Source organism: Homo sapiens, chromosome 6 (genome assembly GCF_000001405.40).
Source record: "Homo sapiens chromosome 6, GRCh38.p14 Primary Assembly".
In the NCBI taxonomy this organism is placed as follows: domain Eukaryota; kingdom Metazoa; phylum Chordata; class Mammalia; order Primates; family Hominidae; genus Homo; species Homo sapiens.
The window spans coordinates 40,454,666-40,476,612 of record NC_000006.12 but is presented as its reverse complement, the minus strand read 5'-3'; the positions used below and the strand labels follow the sequence as shown (position 1 = coordinate 40,476,612).

The following is a 21,947-nucleotide window of genomic DNA, read 5'->3' as shown; positions in this document are numbered from 1 at the left end:
TTGAGCTTTGAAGGGTGTATACAAGTTTGCCAGGTGGAAAGCAGGGAATGGGAAACAGCAAGTTTGACCTAGGGGCTACCCCTGCTAACTCAGCACCTATGGGGTTCCCCGTGTACCCAGCTCTGCACCAGGCATTGCTGGAAGTATGGATGGGTGGTGATGCATACACACAAGAGAATGTGGGCCCTGCCTTTCTTACAGTGAGGTTGGGGAGACACAGGTTCAAAGGGAATTCAAGACGGTTTCATACAAAGAGAATTTCTAGTGGCAGCTCCTAATACATCTGTGTTATCAAAGAAAGTTTCTTGGAGGAGATAAGTCTGGAGAAACGTAGCGGCAGACAGAAGGCAGACACCAGCCCAGATAACTTCAATAAATGTGGGGAGGGGGAAAAGGCCTTCATACTTTATAATCCAGGTTCTGGCATGGCCCTGAGTGTGGATGGGGCATGGAAGGCCCAGTCTGACTAAGGTACAGGGTTGTGGCATGGGCTGAACGGAATCAGGCCAGGCTGGAGCCCAGTAGGAAGGGGCTTCCTAGGCCACGCTGGGCCCATCAGACACAATCTAGCCTGGACTACATTCATCCTTATACCAATGCAACCATAACATATAGCTTTTAATATATATTTTAAGGAGGAAAGAAACTAAAGGAAAGTCACACCACCACTCTAGGGCAAAACACTTGGGTGGGATTCTAAATCCTTGGATGCTCTTTCAGGTCCTACCTTTAATTAGCTGTGCATCCTTGGCCAATTCACCCATCCTCTCTGAAGCTCAGTTTGCTCTTCTGTAACCTGGGAAGGGTAGACCCATCTCACAGGCAGCACATCCCAGGAGCATTGTCAGCCTGGACTACATCAAGCATGGTGCCCCCTGGAATTGTACAAGGTGGAATGGCCAAGAGTGAGAAGTCGACAGAGTAGGAAATGTGAAATTGCTTTAAAAGCAGCTGTGAGAAGAGCTTAGTTTTAGGGGAAGGGATGAGGGCTCCCTTCCTCAGCCTCATCATCCCCATTCCATGTACATCATAACATATCTTTCCACTGAAACAAAAACAACTTCTCAGTTTCCAGTGCTGATGGCACAACCTATAGAAGCTGTCTGTGCACCCCTTGAGCACACATCTCATGACACCCCACCAGCCCCTGAGGCCTGGGACCTCGTTTTGCCCTCCCCACACCTTCCTCGCCTGCACACACACAGCTTAGCATCATACAGACGGTGCTTGTCTCTAGTACGGAGTGGAATCCCTCCCAAGCCATCCCCCAAGTCCCTCCTTTTCCATTTTTCCTCCAGGGGCCCTACTGGGCTCACATCCTTGTCTCTCTTCCCTGCGATGCTCTCAAGGTCTGGCTGCCATCTCCAAGCAGAACCGCTGCATCAATTGTCCTTTGTTGTACTTCAGTTGGTCAAACACATAGGCTCAGTGCTGGTGCCCAGGCTGCAGCTGGCTTGCTATGGAGCAAGGGTCCTCTGCCCCATCTCAGAGACTTTGGGGCCATACTGACCCCTGGAGGCTCCTCCTGCACATATGGGGTGCACTGTGGCTGTTTACTCATGAAGCCCTAGTCTCCGACAACCATAAGAGTGAGTGTGGCTGGGGCTGTCTCTTCAGGACCACCCTTGGGATGGTTGAGGTCATTGTCCTTGAAGACCCAGAAAAGCACAGGGTTTTCTAGCATCATTTTCTTGTTTTAAGAAACAGAAGCTGGAACCAAAAGAGTGTTTGTGATGGAATAGCAAACTCCAAATGATAATTTCACTTGGAACCTTAGAATATGACCTTATTTGGAATAAGGATCTCAAAATGAAATCATTATGGGCTGGGTGCAGTGACTCACAACTGTAATCCCAGCACTTTGGGAGGCCAAGGTGGGAGGATCACTTGGGGTCAGGAGTTCAAGACCAGCCTGGCCAACATGATGAAACCCCATCTCTACTAAAAATACAAAAATTAGCCAGGTGTGGTGGCATACCCCTCTAATCCCAGCTACTTGGGAGGCTGAGGTAGGAGAATTGCTTGAACCCAGGAGGCAGAGGTTGCAGTGAGCCCAGATCGTGCCACCGCACTCCAGCCTGGGTGACAGAGTGAGACTGCATCTCAAAAAAACAAAACAAAACAAAACAAAAAATAAATGGATTAAAGTAGGCCCTAAATCCAATGCTAGTGTGCTTATAACAGACAAAAAAGGAGAAGAGACAGGCACAGAAAAGACAGCCATGTAAAGACAGAGGCAGAGACTGAAGTGATCCAGCTACAGCCAAGGAGCACCTAGGATTTAAAGGAGCCACTAGAAGCTGGAAGAGGCAAGGAAGCAATCTTCTCTAGAGCCTCCTGAAAGAATATGGGCCTGCTGACACCTTCATTTCAGAATTCTGGCCTCCAGACTATGAGAGGGTAAATCTCTGTTGTTTTAATCCACTCAGTGCATGGCTATTTGTTATGGAAGCACCAGGAAACAAATACACAAGGCTCTCGACTTACCTGAGAAGGTGCCCAGGTTTCCCCCACTATACCTATTAGACCCTGTGGGCCTGCCTGAAAGCCCCACATCTAAAAAAACAACGACCCTAAGACCATTTTGCATGACTGTGTTCCTGCTGTGTGCCAGGAACACCTGGGTGTTTGCATTCCGGTGAGTGAGGAGGCATGTGTGCGAGGCAGTGTGTAATAGTGGTTAAGGGCATGGTGGGTCCAGGCGGCCAGTTTTTAGTTATGTATCCCTGGGTAGGTGATGTAACTACTCTGCCTCAGTTTCCTCACTGGTAATATAGGGATGATATGTTCTCACTCATAAGTGGGAGCTGAACAATGAGAACACATGGATACAGGGACAGGAACATCATACGCCGAGGCTTGTTGGGGGTTGTGGGGCAAGGGGAGGGAGAGCATTAGGACAAATACCTAATGCATGTGGGGCTTAAATTCTAGATGATGGGTTGATAGATGCAGCAAACCACCATGGCACATGTATACCTATGTAACAAACCTGCACGTTCTGCACATATATCCCAGAACTTAAATAAAAAACAAAACAGGGATGATAATAGTAATGCCCACCTTCTGGGGTGTTGTGAGGGTTTAATGAATTAGTATCTATAGCACCCTGGGAACCATGCCTTGTCCTCTGGAAGAGTTGGCCATGACCATTTCCCCCAATGACTGGGAGTGGAAACGGAGGCCTGGGGGGCTATGTCACATCCCCAACATGGCTAGAAGATGGCTGGGCTGGAGTTTAAACCTAGGTTTTCTTGACTTTGAAGCAGAGGCACTTTCTAGTCTGACACACGCTGTCTCCTTTTCGGGAGCTTCCTGGAGACATGACATTTAAGCTGGGAGGAGGCAGGATGCTACCTGAGACGCTTCACAAGCAGTCTGGCTGAGGCGTGGCAACTGGGAGCTGCTTGTCAGTTTATAACCACCCCTCCTGGCTGCCATCCAGTAGAGTGGGGCCCTGGAGTTTGGCTGGGGCCCAGAAGATCACCTATCTTGGGGAGCAAGAAGGTAAGAGGAGGGATCTGGAGGCGTGGGAGAAGAGATGTGAGCTGGATCCCGAGAGGCAGGGATGAGGCAGGTGTGTATTTTGTGTCCCCTGTTCCAGCATCTCGCCCAATGAGACCCATTTCCGAAACAGCCAGAGAAACAGGTGGTTCAGGAGCTCCTGACGGATGCAGCCCCGAGTGAATGAAGGGTGTGAATGCCAGGGTGGGAGAGACAGAGATGGGAGGTTCCAAGCCAAGGAGAAACACACTCACTGAAAGTTCAGAGCCAATACAATGCAGTTTAGGGAATGACATGGTGCCTACATGTCAGCCTGCCAAGGTGCCTGAAAGGTGAGGCAGCAGGTGCAGGCAGGAGAGAGGCCTGGGGAGAAAGGGTATCAGCATGTCAAATGCTGCTCAGAGTCAGGTCACATCCAGGGCTCCCGTAGGATCTCCCTGGAAGCATAGGATGCAGCTTCTGAAGTGGCTTGAGCCACACCAGCATCAGGAGGAGGGAAGTGCACAAATCCAGCTCGGCTTACACGGGGTGAATCTGAATGCTAGCAGGTGGCGAGGGTTACCCCACAGGCCCCCCAAGGTCATTTGGCAGGATGCCCGGGAAGGCTTATTAGGCTGAAAATGCCCAAAGCAGCTTCTCTGCTCTCTGCACTCCTAAATCCTCCCACTTCTTCTGAGTTGCTGCTGTGGCCAACAGCAGAGGGTCTTCAGATGCCAACTCAGCCTACAGAAAAGTGAGAAGTTCAGGCAAGCAGTGAAAAGTGTTGCGAGAATAAATCTGCAGACTCCTGGTTTTTTCAAAGCCCCACCTGCTGTGGGTTTTGATGGAATCGACCAATTGTCTTGACCTGGAAACACCTATCCAGCTCTGGGGAGGAAGCCAAATAAGAGAAACTGAAGGGGCTGGAGGGAAGGTGGAGGGAAGATGAGGAGCAGAGACAGAGGGAGGGGACAGTGCAGGGGTTGACCGGGGAAGAATTCAAGTTTCCTATAAGTACAACCTGATTGTCTTTATTTCCGTGCATGTGCACACACACACCGGGGAGCTCATGTTTAGGACCCTGCAAGTGGGGCTGGGGCATCTATTTGTTATTGGGTAATGCAAGTCACTGGGTCCCTGTGACTGGGCCCTCCAGCATTTGGGATACCTGGGGCATGAGGTTCACTAAATAGGTGTGAATAAATAGGCCCTCGCTGCTTCTGGGCACTCAGGCACCCTCTCAAGGGGCTTGCTTTGCAGTGTTGGGGTCCCCTGCTTACCCTCTTCCTTCAGGGAACTATATATCTGGTTGTGGGTATGTGGCAAGTCATCCCAGAGAAGGCACCTCTCTTAGTGTAATACAAAGTGAAATCCTTCCTGGCTGGTCTGGAGGATGGATACTGGTCTGAGTGGCCTTTCTGGTTGTGCAATCAGAATGAACAGGTACTTGCAGTATTAACTCATTCCATCCTCACTGCAACGCTTTGAAGGCAGCACTGCCATTGTCATCCTTCTAATATAGTATTGGAGTTGGGGGTGGCTGCAGTGAGCCACCCCAGGTAGCTCCACTCCTCAAAAGCAGAGCAGGAATTTGAACCGGGCCAGCTGGCTCTAGGGCTGAACGCTCAACAGCATGCCACACCACCTCTCCCAGGGCAGTTCAGTGTGTACTGGGGAGAGATTTCAGCAGTCGGTGTGACACTTTGCAGAGCTCCCCATGGCATGACAATATGACAGCATCCCTGAACCGTGGCAGCCTAGCCTTTGCTTGAACACATGCAGTGACAGCCTACTCATTACTTTGCCAGGAGACTAGAGCCATCCATCTTCCCATGGTTTGGATTTTGGGAAAAGTCATTTGGAAGTTGAGCCCTAAAGTTGCCTTCCTGTACCTTCTACCCTGGCTTCAGTTCTGGAGCCGGTAAGAAGAGCCCCATCCCCTTTCCCAGACACTCTCAGATATCTGCACATCAGCCTCATCCGTACCCCTGCCAGCAGCCTTGGATTGAACAAGCTTGTGGGCCCCTGGCCCCCTCAGCCCTTTTTCTTTCTCAGCCACTGCCCCCCACGCCCCTCACCTATCAGGCCCAGACCAGCTGGACACACCCCGATGTACCAACATCCTTCTCAGCCTGCTGTCCCCAAGGTTGGGTGTGACCCTGCCACTCCTGGTCCTTGCAATCCTCCGTAGGATGAGGGATTAACTCAGGGATCTCTGACATTCCAGGCATCTGTGGTGCAACCACCCACCCTATGTCCTGACCCTGTCTCTTATGCTCCATCCCCACCCCTGGTGTTCCCCTGGAGGTGGGTCCAGGCCCAGCAGGTGCCTGTGTTGGATGTGAATAGTGAGGACAGCAGCAGGCAATGCAGGAGCTGAGGCAAGGGGAAGCCAGGTGGGCTGAACCTGGGGCCTGGGGTGAGAGGGGCTCACCACTGGCTGCTCTGCCTTCCCAGCTCCTCTTTCCATCGGGGAATTCCTCTGAGAGCAGGTAGAACACAGCCTATTTTTTTTTTTTTTGAGACAGAGTCTTGCTCTGTCACCAGGCTGGAGTGCAGGGACACGATCTCAGCTCACTGCAACCTCCACCTCCTGGGTTCAAGCGATTCTCCTGCCTCAGCCTCCCAAGTAGCTGGGACTACAGGTGCATGCCACCATGCCCAGCTGATTTTTATATTTTTAGTTAAGAAGGGGTTTCACCATGTTGACCAGGATGGTCTTGATCTCCTGACCTCGTGATCTGCTCGCTTTGGCCTCCCAAAGTGCTGGGATTACAGGCGTGAGCCACTGCGCCCAGCCACACAGCGTCTTAAATTGTTAATTAAATGGAAAACACTTGGCTCCATTTCTCTGTGGGTTCTATTACCTGAGCAGGTGTGGAAGGAGTGGGCATTGTGTTTTCTCAGATGCACCCAGCCCATGACTGCCTGTTTCCCCAGCCCACATGCCTTGGGGAGCCATGTTGGCTTGGCAAGTGGGGTTCTGCAGGCAGGATGGGGAGATGTGTGGCAGGTGAAAAGCAGACCCAGACATGTGCTTTAGGTGCCAAGGGGCCCATGATCACCCAATGTGATGCTCTAGAAAGACAAATCCACCAGTGGGAATTCAAAAGGAAGGGACTGGCTCCGGGTTACAAGTCTGTCCCTCTGCTCCTAAGTGGACACTGTGGTTGGTGAGGACCCAGCTGTGGGTAGATGACTAACTCCCAGCATTAACTACAGAGATGAGTAAAGTGATGGTTTACAGGGTGTGTGCAGGGTAGAGGGATGTCCTGGTGCAGCTCTTGGGGGGACAAGGCAGGAGCAGCACCATTTTTAAGGCTATTAGGGTAAGGGAGGGAGGGACACAGAGCTGTAGTTCATGAGAGAGGCCAGTCAGTGAGAACTGGAACCCCGAAAGGCCCCTGCCAGGGCCTCTATGAAGCAGGTGGGTTTGTGGGACTGCAGCAGATATGCCCTGACCTGGTTCTCTGTCCATCCTCCAATCTCCTATGAGTGCCTTCCAGTGACCAAACCCAAGAGCCAGAGGGAAGGAGAGCCTGAGAAATGCAATGGAGATGATGGTTGGATATACTAAGCTCATTATGGGATGACTCTCCAGAATCAGACATGGGGTGGAGGCTGCCTTGCATACTGTCCCACCCATCTAACCCTGAGCCCTGCTCGTGGCCTTTCTCAGTGGACTAACAGGCCCTACTAGCCCAGGATAGGAGGTTTCCTGTCCAAAGATGATGGTTGGATCGCTTTCTGGGACATCTGCAACAAATGACCACAAACCGGATGGCTGGATGGCTTAAGCCAACAGAAATATGTCCTCTTATAGTCCTGAGGGCCTGAAGTCTGAAACCAAGGTGCTGGAGTCACACTGCCTCTGAAGGCTGTAGGGGAGAAGCCTTCCTTGCCTCTTCTAGTTTCTGATGACTCCGGGTGTTCCTTGGCTTGTGGCTGCCTCATTCCAACCCCTGCCTCGGTCATCACATGGCCTTTTCCCCTCTCTGTGTGTCTTCCCCTCCTGTGCCTCTTATAAGGGCATTTGTCATGGGATTTAGGGCCCACCCGGGTAATCCAGGACAATCACATCACCTTAACTAAATTACATCTGGAAATACCCTTTTTTTAGATAAGGACACATTCACAGGTTCAGGGATTAGGACGTGGATATACCTTTTGGGGGGCCTCCATTCAACCCACTACAATGGTTATCTCAGATGAGCTCCTGTCCCTCCTCCTGTCCCCTGCATGCCACTCACTGCACTTCAAAATTGACCGGGAGGATACATAGGGCCGACATGATTCCCATTTTACAAATGAAGCCAGAAAGGAGAAGAGACATGCATGAGGAGATGGGGTAAGGGGCAGAGGTGGAACAGGAGCTCAGCTGCCTGTCATTCTCCTGCCACGTCCTCCCACCACCTCACAGGCATGGATAAGCCCCCATGCTCCTTCAGCACCTCTATAACTGCCCATTCATATTGTTTTCACTGGGTACTGTTTTTCCTCTTTGAACTTCAGGCCCCCAGATCTGGTTTAATCTCACTACTCTTTGCGCTTCACATAACCCACTTTTATTACAGTTTTCTTTAGTAATGGAATAAGTGCACACAATCCCACCACCCAAAACAAAAGCTTGGCTGTGACCTACATCTGAGCCCAGTTCCGCCCATTCAAACACCCCTTCTTCCCCAAAGGAATGATTGCTCTCACTGATTCCTTTGCTTTCCATTCTGTGTGGTTTTAATACATCCCTTTCTTATCATGTTTTTACTGGGGCCGCACCCCATGCTGGACACAGATCGCAGAGATGGTCAAGGCAAGTTCTGACAGCTAATGAGGCCTGGATCATCTAGTGAGAGCATTACCGGGACCTCCCAGTGCTTGTGGGTGGGGAAGAAGGCAGTGAGGGCCAAGGACTTGTTCACCAATTGCTTCTGACACTAGCCTGGGAATTCCTGGAGTTCAGAGCCCAGGTTCAGAAAGGTTCACCTCTGAGTCCCCACAGCCCACCCCAGAGCAGGTGCCCAATAACCAAGTATGGAATTAATGACAGAAGAGTTTTGGGAACCCCCGTCCTGGGTGAATAGGGCCTGTTCATCCACTTAGGAAGGTCATGAGCAGGGACTGGAGCTGGATGAGTATGTCCTGTCAGATATGGAAATTCCTGAAGCAGAGGCTGTCTACCCTCATTAGACTGGAGACTGCCTATGACAAGGACTAGGTCTCTTCCATCATACTAGGAGACACAGGAAGTCATATTTGGCTCCTCTGTCTGATTGGAGCACCCTAAGGCTCAGATTTCTTTCATCTAATAGGTCATTCTGAAATTAGAGGCTGTTTCTCTCCGTTGAGTAAGAGTCCCCTGAAGACAGGCTATATCTCCTCCATCAGATTGGGAAATAATGAGGCCAGACTCAGAACCTCCCATGGCCGAGGCTAGGTCTCTGTCAAAGAGAGAACAGCTGGTTTCCTGTCTCCTGCCATGGAGATGTCCTTGATCAATGCCCAGGCTCTCTGGAACTTCCTTGTTTTTTCTTCTTACCATTCAGGTTGCAGATAGCTCACCTGTAAAGCCCTGTTGTATTGCTACTCTGGACTTTGCCAAGAGTCACTAACTGTGTCCCTCAGACACTGTCTCCATGTCTGTGCCACTGAGATGTGAGCATGGCTGAGCTGTGGAGGGAGCGCAATTGGAGGAGGGGATGTCACCTCCTCTGATTTAGGTCTTGGCTCTAGCTCAGAGCCTGCTGCAGTATCTGCAGGCTGAGTCCAGCCTCCAAGGACACAGGCAGCTGGGCCTGCCCCAGACAGGATCTGGAGAAAGCTCTCCCCTCAGTTCATCAAGTGATAGAAAGAACAGTAGGGACCTAGGAAGGAGGACTAATGGGAGGGGGAAAGGGCCTCATTTTTGAAACACACACACACACATCATCATCATCATCATCATCATCATCATCATCATCATCATCTCATTCAACTTTCCAAATACTGAGATAAGTGTATTACTTTGCTAGGTCTACCAAAACAAAAACAGGTGGTTTAAACAATACAAATTTATTTTCTCACCATTCTAGAGGTTATGAGCCCAGATCCAGGGGTCGGCAGGGTTGGCTTCTTTTGAGGCCTCTCTACTTGACTTGTAGGTGGCCGTCTTCTCCCTCTGTCTTCCCATGATTTTTCCTCTGTGTGTGTCCATGTCCATACTTTTACTTCTTTTAAGAATACCAGGCACATGGGATTACGGCCCCATATATATGACTTCATTTTACCTTAATTATTTCTTCAAGACTCTTACCTCCAAATACAGTTATATTTCTCAGGCACTTGGGCTTAGGATTTCAACATACTTATGAATTTTGGCCATATTCATCCTATAACAATAAGTAAAGCACACGTTGTCCTCATTTTACGGCTAAAAAATTAAGGCAGGGACAGAAGTGACTTGCCTGGGGTGACTTGCATAGGGATGAAGAAGTGGAAGTGGATTGGAGCACCATCTACCTCTAAATCTCATGCTAGGTCCAGCCCAGGATGCTGTATCTTTGTCCTCTGGCGGGAACAATTCTGGTAGACTCTTGAGTGGGGGCCTCTCCTTTCTGCCTGTATCATCTCATGATGGAAACCCCTGCTTATACTAGACATTACTGGATGCTAATGGCTGTCTTTCAGGTGGGTGTCCTTGCTCTACCTATAACATCAGGGGATCTTTAAAAATGGGACTGAGACTCTTCCCTCCAGTGAAGGGCTCCCTGGGACCAAGCTTCATTTCCCCATCTGGAACCTCCCCTAAAATTGCAGAAAGATGGCCTGGCAACATCTGGGTGACCTTTGCTTAACGCATTTATAGGTTCTCCTGCTTTTCCCTCCCTTTATCCTTGCTGCCTGCTCCTTGGGGTGATCTGGTCATCTTGCCTTAAGGTCATAAAGTATCCAAATGTCAGGTGGGAATGGACCTGCAAAGGTCATCCTATTTATTACATCTCCTGGACTCTCTTGCAGATAATTATCCCATGATCTCAGACCCCAAAGAAGTGCTCGGTGGCTAATGAAAGAGAGAGTCAGTAGCTGAGAGCCTCAAGTCTTCCCTTGCTGTACCACTTTCTCTTTCTTGCCATATTCTAAGTAAACCCCTGGTAGACTGTAGGGCCTTAAGAGGATTGCCTTCTGTCACCACTACTGCCTTGTTCTACCAGTTACCGTCTCCACCCCCACAACCTTTTCTTTTCCAGGTTAAAGCCTCCCTTCCCCTCCAGGAACTTACCTGAGGGCAGCAGTGGCAAGTTAGAGGTCACTGCTGTTCTTCTCTGGGTGGACAGTGTAAGCCCACTGCTGCTCAACCTCTGTTCCATCCCATCCCACCCTCCTCACTCCTGGTATTGTGGGGTATCTCTCCAGTCCCCAAATTCCCAGAAATTTGATCCTCTTGGGAACATCCTATGTTGTTCAAGGATCCTGAAGCTGTCAGGTATCAGATCTGAGTCAAATCCTACATGGGTCAGGAGAGCCCAGGTTTTTGTGGTCAAATATCTCCCTGTTTTCTCCAATTAATTAATATCTTATGTTGGATTTTCCCAGAAGTAAACCAAGTCAGGATCTGAGAGTAAGAAGTTTATCTGGGGGTGACTTCAAGAGGCATTGATAGAGAAGTAAGGAAGTGAGAGCAGGAAGGGCAAGAAGCCAATATGGGGCTGCTCATAAGCAAGTCACTGATTTGAACACCTGAGACTCATGTTTCCTGGAGACTTCCAGGAGTGCATTAGTTTCCTGTTGCTTCTGTAACAAGTTATCACAAAATTGATAGCTTAAAATAACAAATATATGATCCGACGGTTCTGTAGTTCAGAAGTTCAAAATGGGTCTCATTAAACTAAAATCAAGGTACTGGCAGAGCTACATTCCTTTCAGGGGGCTCTAGGGTAGAATATGTTTCCTTGCTCTTTCTAGCTTCTAGAGGCTGCCCACACTCCTTAGCTTATGACCCCATCCCTCAAAGCCAGAAACAGTGGGTCTAGTTCTTCTCACATTGCATCACTCTGACCTTGTCACCTCCTTCCCTCTTTCATATTTAAGGACCCTATTGATTATATTGGATGCTCCCAGGATAATCCAGCATAATATTTACTTTACAGTCTGCTGATTAGCAACTTTAATTATATCTGCAACCTTAATTCCTTATTGTCATGTAACCTCACATATTCATAGGCTCTAGGGATGAAGATGTGGACATCTATAAAGGGCCATTATTCTGCCTACCACAAGAGATTGTGTAGATTACACCTGAGAGTCATCCTACCCAAAGGGTGAGAAGGCTGGGGTACTTATTCACCAGCTCCCATCCGAGATTGGTTTGGAGTAGGGGTTGAATAACTCTTCTGCATTTTTGACCTGTCTTCCATAGCCCACTGACTCTTGTGGCCACGGAAGGCAGAGTCACATGTGCTTGGGGCAGGAAGCCCTCAGAATGCATGGGAATGGTGGACATTGAGGGGTGTGAGTGAGACACCCAACAGAGTCTGCTTGTCTTAGTCCTTTTATGCTGCCATCACAGAATACCTGAGAGTGGATAATTTATAAGGAACAGAGATTTATCTCTTACAGTTCTGGAAGCTGAGAAGCCCAAGGTCAAGGGGCTTGCATCTGACAAGGGTCTTCTTGCTGCATCATCCCATGGCTGAAGTGGGGAGGGGAGTGGACAACTAATTCTTTTATCAGGAACCTACTCCACCATAACAGCATTAATTCATCATAACCTAATCACCTTAAAGGTCCCAACTCTCAACATTGTTGCATTGATGATTAAGTTTCCAACACATGAACTTTAAGGCATACATTCAAACCATAGCACTGCTATAATTAATTAATCTATTGATTCATCAGAAATATGAATGGTTAGGCCATGTTTTGCACCAGATCCTAGTGAGAAAATAATGAAAAACACACCAGTCCTTGCTTTGGAGGGTTTCACAGTCTAAAGGAAAGAATAGACCCATATGAAATCATTATAATGCAGTGTGGTAAATGTAGTGATAGAGACCTGAGCTGGGAATTGGTGGAACACAGTCTAGAATGGGGCTAAGAGACAGAACAGAAAGGACTTCCTGCAGAGTAAAGTCCGAGTTAACACTGAAGGACATTAGGAGTTGGCCAGGTAAAGGCAGGTCATTGTTCAAGGTGGAAAGGAGGCATGAGCAAATACACATGGATAAGAAATGGTGTGATGGCATGAGCCCAGGAGTTCAAGACCAGCCTGGGCAACATGTTGAAGCCCTGTTTCTACAAAAAATACAAAAATTTAGCTGGGCACGGTGGTGCATGCCTGTAGTCTCAGCTACTTGTGAAGCTGAGGTGGGAGGATCACTTCAGCCCAAGAGGTTGAGGCTGCAGTGAGCCGTGATCGTGCCACTGCACTCCAGCCTGGGTGACAGAGTGAGACCCTGCCTCAAAAAAAAAAAAAAAAAAAAAAAATAGAAAGAAAGAAATAGTATGATGTATGCAGGGAAATGCAGGGAACATGGAGTGGAGTAAGTATCACTGCTCACTTAAAACTCTGGGCAGAGAAGGGTAGAGATTCCGCTAAAGAGCTGGGCAGGAATGTGGTTGTGGGACACTAGCACCCATTGGAAGATGTTCAAACACCACCTTGGAGCAAATGGGAAAAGTTTTTGAGCCAGGAAAGAATGTAGCCAGAGTAGTATCATTGTTAGGTCCCTCTGTCCACAGAGTGGAAAAAGGATATGAAATACTGAAACTAGGAGCAGGGGAGATTAGTCAGGAGCTATTGCAGCAGTCCAGGGGAGAGATAAAGAGCCTCCAAATTAGCATTCTGGTTGCAGAGGTAGAGAGATATCCAAGGGCAGCTCTGTTTGTAGACAAAATACTATTATATAACTTAGGACAAAGTATGACTTTGAGTGACAGAAAATCCAAACTGTACAATAGAAGTTTATTTTCCTCTTATATAAACTCTAACTAGGTGGTCCAAGCTCCTTGCACCTTATTACCCTGCATGTCTTTCACTCCCAAATCCACCTTATGGTTCAAGATGACCACTGCAGCTCCATCTGTCACATTCACATTCCAGCCAGCAGGAAGGAGATGAGGGAAGAGCTCAACCCTTCCTTTAAGGACACTTCCTAGAAGTTGTCTATACCTTTACCACTTACACTTCATTGGCCAGAACTTGGCCACATGGCTACACCTAGTTGCAAGGGAGGCTGGGAAATAATGTCTTTTTTCTGGAAGCCATCTCCCCAACCACAATTCTATTACTAGGCAAGGGTACATTGGGCCCTGGAAGCAACTGGTCTTTATAAGGTAACAGTGGACATGTGCACTGTGGCCAGACTGACCTGGCTTCCACTCTTTGTTACCTTGGGTACCTCCTGTGAGCCTTGGTGCCTTCATCTGTAAATGGAGATGTAGGATTATTGTGAAGATTTGACAAGATGATAGACAAAAAATGTTTTTATAAACTGTAAAGTGCTGTCACTTGTGAGATATCATCACTGTGGTTGTATTCATCGTGGCCCCATTGATGAACCAAGATTGCTTTACAAGGACTGAATAAGAGATACAGATTTAGATGCCTCTATGTCAGTAAAAATTCTTGGAATGAGGGAGCGAAAGAGTGAGGTAGGAGAAGGCCTTCTCCTAGACAGAGAGGACTTAGGGAAGGGAGGCTATGAATCACATACTGAGGGGAGCTGCAGGGGTTTCCCAGAATGGAGTCCATGTGCTTCTGGAGGAGGCATCTTCAGCCAAAGCCAAGAGGGTACCTGGAATCCTGCAAGAGAGTATGGAGGGACTTGTGTAGCTTCATTTGTAATCCACACATTCCTACCAGCCACTATCCCAGGGCTTTTCTCCATCATCCTGAGCTCACCCATGCTTCTGCCATTGGACCAAGCCAGGGTTAAGAACGGGAGCGCAAGGCAACAATTCCCAGACTTAATACTTCGCCTCTGTTTTTCTTTTCATTGGCAAATGAAATCATTTATTGGTTTTAGCTGAGGTGGCCTCAGTTCTTGCAGTAATTACTGCTCTGTCAGTAAATGGAGAGGTTTTGATTTCACAAAGGTATGTGTAAATTGCACGTTTTGCATTTGCTCAAACTTAATCAATACTGTAACAGAATTAAGAGGTCCAGCAAGACTTGTGATCTTACCTAAGCTAATAAAAAATGAGCCTGCATAACTACAAATGGGACCTCAGCTAATGTATTTGTAGATAGCCTATGACCACATTTTTCTGTATTGTATCAAATTGTCTCTAGTCTATTCAGGTAGTGACTAATAGAGTGTGAGGTTTTGCGGGGAGGGTGCAGTCTCTCATTGCTGCTACTAAAGGTTTTGTGTCATCTTCTTTCATGTCATCCAAATTACATTAAATTTCAATCCCAGACCTGGTAATCTCCCTCGCCTCTCCTACTTTATTTTTTCTCCTTAGCACTTACCACCTTCTGATATCATGTTTACTTTATTTATCTCGTGTATTCTGTCTCCCCAAACTATAATATAGGCTCTGTTGAAGGGAGGGTTTTTTTTTTTTGTCGGGGGGAGGGGGGTGGCTGGGGATTTGATCTATCTTGTTTACTGCTGTATTTTCGGGGCTGCAACTGTGCCTGGCTCAAAAAATTATTTGCTATGCGAAGGAATGAAATCATTTGGTATAATTGTTGGACATGCAGTGTGTATAATTTCTTTTTTTTAGTTTTTATTTTATTTTTTTAGAGTCAGGGTCTCACTCTATCACCCAGGCTGGAGTGCAATGGTGTGATCATGGCTCACTGCAGCCTTGAACTCCTTGGCTCAAGCAATCCTCCCACTTCAGCCTCCATAGTAGCTGGGACTGCAGGTGTGACTACCATGCCCGACTAATGTTTTTTATTTTTTTGTAGAGACTAATCCTTGCTATGTTGACCAGGTTGGTCTTGAACTCCTGGCCTCAAGCCATCTTCCCACCTCAGCCTCCCAAATTGCTGGAATTACAGGCATGAACCACTGCGCCCAGCCCAGTGTGTAAAATTTCTAATGTCACTTTTCAGCTCAAAATGCTGTTTCCAGATGCTTGGTATATAGTGTATGCTTCCTGATTGCCTGGCTGGTTGATTAAATAAATGAATGAATCAAATGTTACATTACAATGATGGAAAATAATGTCATTGTTTCATTCAATAGCCTACCCTCTCCCCTAGTTGTTCCGTAGACTCAGCTGGCCAGAAGGAAGAGGCATAGGGAACAAGCATATATTCTCTGCGCTTATCTCTCCAGCACTTGGCCAACTTTTTAAAATAACATTTAATGACCATTGCATAAAGATGTCACTGCATCAGTGCTGTCCTCAAGCAGCTGGGAGACTATGAAGTCTCCTCATCTTTCTGTGGTGATCTATCCCAGGGGCTATGGAGGGGGCTTTCTGGGCCAGCTCACCTACTTCATTTATAACCCAGCTCCCTGGATAGGGTATTCTGTTAAATACACCCTCTCCCTTGTAGGCCTCTCCTATGGTAATGCTCTTGCTACATAAGCCAGACAATTAGAGGTAATTGGGATAATTGGCATTTATTATGGCAATTTGCATTTCTACAGCAGGCAGCACAGAACTTAGTACACGGCTTGGGAATGTGCTTTGGGATCTGGGCTGAATCCAGCTCTCCATTCTAATGCTCATTTCAGAGGCCATAGAATTTGCCCCTCCTATGCTCATGGTAGGTCCATAGAACAAGATTATATGAGAGCCTCACCAACCAATCAGAAAGGAGCATGCAAATCCGGGTCTGGGAATTAAAGAAGCATCTCTTCCATCTGCAGGGGACTGGGGAAGAGTCTACAGCCTGGAAGAAGTCCTGGGTCTGTGGCCAGAACCCTGGTGACTGATTTTTCACTGCATTAACCAGATGTTTGACTTAATTGACAGAGTAGTTTCACTGTCTCGGTTGACTAACTCAAAGCTCAGGCCTGCTGTCAGTAGGAGCCTCCGGAAGGAGCCCCTGTGAGGAGACTCCACAAGAGTCCACATGGGGACTTCTGAACTTCCAACCGCTCCTGGTTGCAGCCACCTTCTCTGCCATCAATATTTTCCTTGAGCCCAGCTTCATGGGCACCCATTTGTCCCTGTCAAGAATGAGGGCAGCGTTGTACAGTGGTTATAAATATTGGCTTGCAATTGCAGCTTCCTAGGTTTGAATTTCTTCCTCCCTAGTTGTTAGCTGGGTGACCATGAGTGAGTGACTTCACCTCTTGGTGCTCTTAATAGTGCCCGACTCATAGAGTTGATATAAGAATTAGGCGAAATAATGTATGAGGCCCCTAGCCAGAGACAAAGATTAAATGTTCTCATTAAAAGGTCCTCCCTCCATCCAAACCACAAGTCTTTGCTGTGTGTCTTCACCAACCCATCCAGAAGGCACATAGTGCCAAGCATCCCAAAAGAAGCATAGGTGAAAGTGCCTTGGTATTTGGACATGGGAGCAACTGACCTGGTTGTAGGGAACATGCAGATTTTTCAAGGGAGAAGAGATAGCATTTGTTCTGGGCCCTGAAAGACTGATAGGATTAGGCCCTGCAGAGATGAGAGGGGAGGACAGTAGGAAGCAGGGAATGGTGAAGTGTTCATGGAGAGAAGTCCACAGCAAAACACACATGTTTTGTCTATACTTGACACATCATAATTTACTGTAAAAAGACAGTGTTTGCAATTTACTAAGGAGTTATGTGTCACACACAACCTCTCCAAGCTTCTTACTCTATTTGGTCACCCCTTGGGTAGAGAGACCAGGGGAACACATCGTCCCTCACAATTGAAGTTCCTCTGGCCTATTACTCTTATGACTTCTCCATCATAGACTTTGTTCACTTTGTTGAAAATGTGGTGGCCAAGGTAAAGAAACAATTTCCTTGGATTCTTGGGGGAAATGAGAATGAGACAGTGAGACCCAAAGGGCACCCTTCAGTGCCCTGCAACCTGCCTGCCTAGTCCAGGGACCTGGCTTTCCTTCTTAGGGAAGGTAGAGATCTTTAGCCCAGTTTACAAACCAGAAAGACTTTTTGTTATGTTGGTCTCATGAGTTCTTGGAAACCACGTATGAAATAAACTAAAACATTTGTTGTAGCATCTTTTAATCCAGTGTATCAGTTAGGATAAGGTAAAGTTGCTGTAACAAAGAGTCTGAAAAGAGAATGGCTTAAATAAGACGGAAGTGTATTTTCCTCTCACAGAGCAGTCTAGTTGGTGCCAGCTGGTGGGGTCAGTTGTGCTGGACAGTCATTCAGACCCAGGATTCTTCTATCTTATGGTTCAAACCCCTTGGGTGCTGGGCTCATCTGTGTTGTTGGGGCTGGGTGGCTGGCAACTACCCAGCTCCTGGGAATTGGAAAGAGAAGCCAAGAAGAACAGTTTTTGTTTAAAGCAAGGGATGAAGAAGTTGCGTTCATCACTGCTGCACACTTTCCTTGGGAGAACACAAGGTCACATTGCCATTCTAGGAGAGTCTGGTACCATTTGCCCAAGCAACCCTGGAGGAGGGATGGGGTCTGTTAGCATGGAAGGAAGGGTGATTAGTGATTCTGCTCTATCTCACTGCTGGGGAAATGGAGAAAGCTGAGACTTTATGTTGCTCTGGACTATCACCCGTCAACATAGCCAGGATATAGAAACCAACGTGTAGAGTGCAGTGGACAGCCCTAGACTGACATGTATGGCTGTTCTCAGAGAACTTTGGACTTTTTGCTGCTCCTAAATAGTACTTTTTTAAAATAAAAGTATCCACTGCCTAGCTCTCCCTGCTCCCTAATGTGTGAGGCTTATCACTGCCTGCACCAATTGCAGTGAAATCATTCCGGCAAATTGCCCACTACTTGATCTAACCTGGCATAATTTATACATTCGTGTTTACTACAAAGCAGTTATCAGTGGTTTCATCTGTTCCTCACTGCCACCCTAGAATGAAGGCTGGGCAGGGTTTCTCCACATGTTAAAGAAAACAGCCTCAGTGAAGTTAAGAGATCTATTAATTAGAATAACTAGATTATGCTTTAGTAACAAGCGGCCTCCAATCTTACACAACAAATGTTTATTTATCACCCTCACAAAATCCACTATGGGCCTGAATGACTCTTAAGGGCAGCTGTCCTATATGTGGCCCTAAACAATCCAGGCTAATGATAGCTTCATTCTCCTGTAGCTACAACTTCTGGACTGCCCAGCCCCCTTGACCCTCATGGCAGGACAGGAAAGGGGCTGGATGATCATATCTGTCAATCACACACATTGATTTTGCTTATATTTCATTGGCCAAATGCAGTCACAGAGCTCTCAGACCTGCAAGAGCGCTGAGAAGTTTTGTCTAGAAGGGGAGGAGAGCTGGATACTGGTGAGCATTCATCACATCTACCACACGTGTTTGCACAAGATCCCATGGTAAATCATGGCACCTTCAGGTTTTTACAGAATTTTATCATCTCCTTTCTCTCCCTCTCTTTTTTTTTTTTTTTTTTTTTTAAACAGGGTCTTTCTTTGTTGCCTAGGCTGGAGTGCAGAGGTATGATCATGGCTCACTGCAGCCTTAACCTCCTAGGCTCAAGTGATTTCTCCTGCCTCAGCCTCTCAAGGTGCTGGGATTACAGGTGTGAGCCACTGACTCTGGCCTGAGTTTTCTCATTTCTGATGTAACCTTATGCTGACAATAAGGCAAGCTCCACCTACATTTCCCTTGGTATAACAGAAAATATTTATACATGTGACTAACAAGATAGCTATTTTGGGGGAGAAAAAGGTTAATCCCTTTTTCTCCCCCAAACTTCCTTGTGGAATGACGGGCTTTCTTCCAGAGTAAGCAGCTTACCTATATTTCAAGGCCCTAAATCCACATATTTAAGATCCCTCCTTTGGATTAGGACTCTAAGGAAAAAACTCTTAAAATATACACATCTCTCTTGGCTTACAGACAGAAATGTAAGCCATTGTTATCCATTTCTACCTCCATATGGTGATGATATTCTTAGTGAGCAGAGACTAGGAATTAGAACAGGTATGTTTTGATAGGGGAAGAGGAGGAGGAGAGAACAGAGGAAAGGGTGGTGGGGAGGGGTGCAGGGGAGGTGGTTTGGGATGGTTGGAGGGGATTGGATGGTGACCACCCCTATCCTTCACTGAGCTGAAAGATGAAGAGCTGCGTGGTTGGTGTGTTCCTGGTTACAGAAAAGCATGTGTGGTGATTCTGGGAATGCTATTTTTCCCTAGGTGCCAAAATGACTACAACCAAGTGGGAGTTGGGCTGCCTCTGAGGCTGGTTCTTGTGTCCTTGACCCAAGGAGCATAGCTACTGCTTTTCACCCTTCCCTTTTCTCTCCTTCCTTGGAGAGGGAGTCGTGAGCCTCAGGTCTGAGTCCTGGACAGCCTTTAATAACTGTGTAACTATGGAGAGCCCTCAACAATCTGTTTTCATTTTCTTCATTTGTAAAATGGAGATAAAAGTATTAAATATTCCCTTCAGGGATCTTAGAGAATCAAACAAGCCAACCAATATGCCAGCTTTGTTAACTTTAAAGGGCTGTGCAAACACAAGGCATTGCCACGCAGCAGCAGCACGATCATTATTTTGTGGCCTTGGCCACACACAAGAGCACAAGATTCAAAGAGATCAGTGACCCTAAGTACTCAGGCTAGCTACAGAGTAGGCTACTTCAGGCTTAGGAAACACATGTCATCGACATACCTGGGTCTAGTTTCTCTCAGTCTCTCTTTCCTAGATTCATTTCCTAGGAGTTCATTGTCCTTCTCCTCTGGCTTTCTAAGCAGTTATCTGCCTCCTTCTTTCAGTCTGAAATGAATTCACACTTCTGGGTATGTGTTAGTTTTTTGTTATTGCATAATGAATTAGCAGGAACTTGGCTTAAAGCAACACAGGTTTACTGCCTTGCAGTTTCTGTGACTTCTTTGCTCAGGGTCTCACACAGCTGAAGTCAAGGAATTCTTATCTGTAGGCTTGATTCTAGGGGAATATCTACTTCTAAGTTGGCAGAATTCAGTTCCTTGAAGTTGTAGAACTGAGGCCCCTTCTCTCTTGCAGGCTGTCAACCTGCGGGTCTCTCCTTCTTCCTAGGGGCTGCCTACCACTCCCAGCTGCATGGCCTTCTCCACAACATGCTAGTTTGCACCATCAAAGCCAGAAAGAGAAACATCTCTCCCACTTTGAATCTCCATGACTTCAGCAAGGGCTGAGTCCCTTCTGTGGGCTCACCTAATTAGGTCAGGCCCACCCAGGATAATCTCCCTTATGATTAACTTAAAGTCAATTGATGAGGGACCTTCATTAATAACATCTGCAAAACTTCCTCTGCCCTGCAATGTCATGTAATCACAGAAATGGTACCCCATCACACCCATCATATTGACAAGTCCCACCTCCTCCCCTTCTGATATCTTGTGCTCTTATGTGTGTGCTCAAGGCCACAAAATAACACAATAAAGATGATAGTGATACTGCTGCTGCTGCATGGTAAATCCTCAGGTTTGCACAGTCCTTTAGAGTGAATAAAGCTGGGATAATTGCTGGCTTGTTTGAGAGCCCTGGGGGGAATATGTAATACTTTTATCTCCATTTTAGGATATTTCCATTGGCTAGTACCCCATAAGGAGTTAACTCCCCTGCACTTCCAGGTTGTGTCATTGGCCCCTTAAGGGTCTGCTCTTGAAGCCAGATCTCATGCCACAAGGTGGTGTGGGGGCTTATGCCAGACCCCACATGGAATCCACATGGCTGCATGGAAATGTTCTGCTGAGGTGACAACCGAGGTGGAGCAAACAGCTGGTGGTCTGAGGGGCAGGTGAGGCCATGAGATCATGATGTGTTTGGTAGAGTGGTGCAAAGTAGTCTCAGAGATGCACAGGCATTGCATATTGAGGAGTGACAGAAAGCTACTGTGATAAGCCAAGTGAGAGGAAAGCATGACTCCAAGGCAGAAACCATGAGAATAAAGAGGAAGGGAAACAGTCAAGAGGTATACATTTTATTTCAGTTATTTACTTTACAAATAGTTTCTTCTTATTATAAAAGCAATAGATTTAAATTTAAAAAATGGGAACAGTGCAAAAGTGTGTATAATAAAAAGGACGTCTTTTTTATGTCCTAGATTCCCAGTTACAGCTCTAAGAGAAACCTTTCAAAAAATTTCTGGCTTATACATCGACAGCATATAGAAGATAAATAGATGTGCTTATGTGTGTGTTTGTGTGTATGTGTCCTTTTCAGGGATACAAATAGGATCTCACTATGCATTAGGTTTTGCAACTCAGCATTTCACATATGGGTAAGCTATAGGTAAATATTTAAGTTATATATAGTCTTTGGCTCTTATAAACAATGCTATAACAAAATTCTTATATCTAATTTTTGTGTGTAAGTACAAGTATCTGTGCAGAATAAATTTCTAGATGTGAAATTGCTGGATCAAAGAGTGGATAGTGTAGAG

The 21,947-nt window shown here is 46.9% G+C and overlaps 1 protein-coding gene across 1 annotated transcript in view; it reads left to right on the top strand.

The window, feature by feature from the left end:
- The window catches only part of LRFN2 (leucine rich repeat and fibronectin type III domain containing 2), a 195,774-nt gene that overhangs the window by 110,752 nt on the left and 63,075 nt on the right, over positions 1 to 21,947 (top strand). The window lies entirely within an intron of this gene.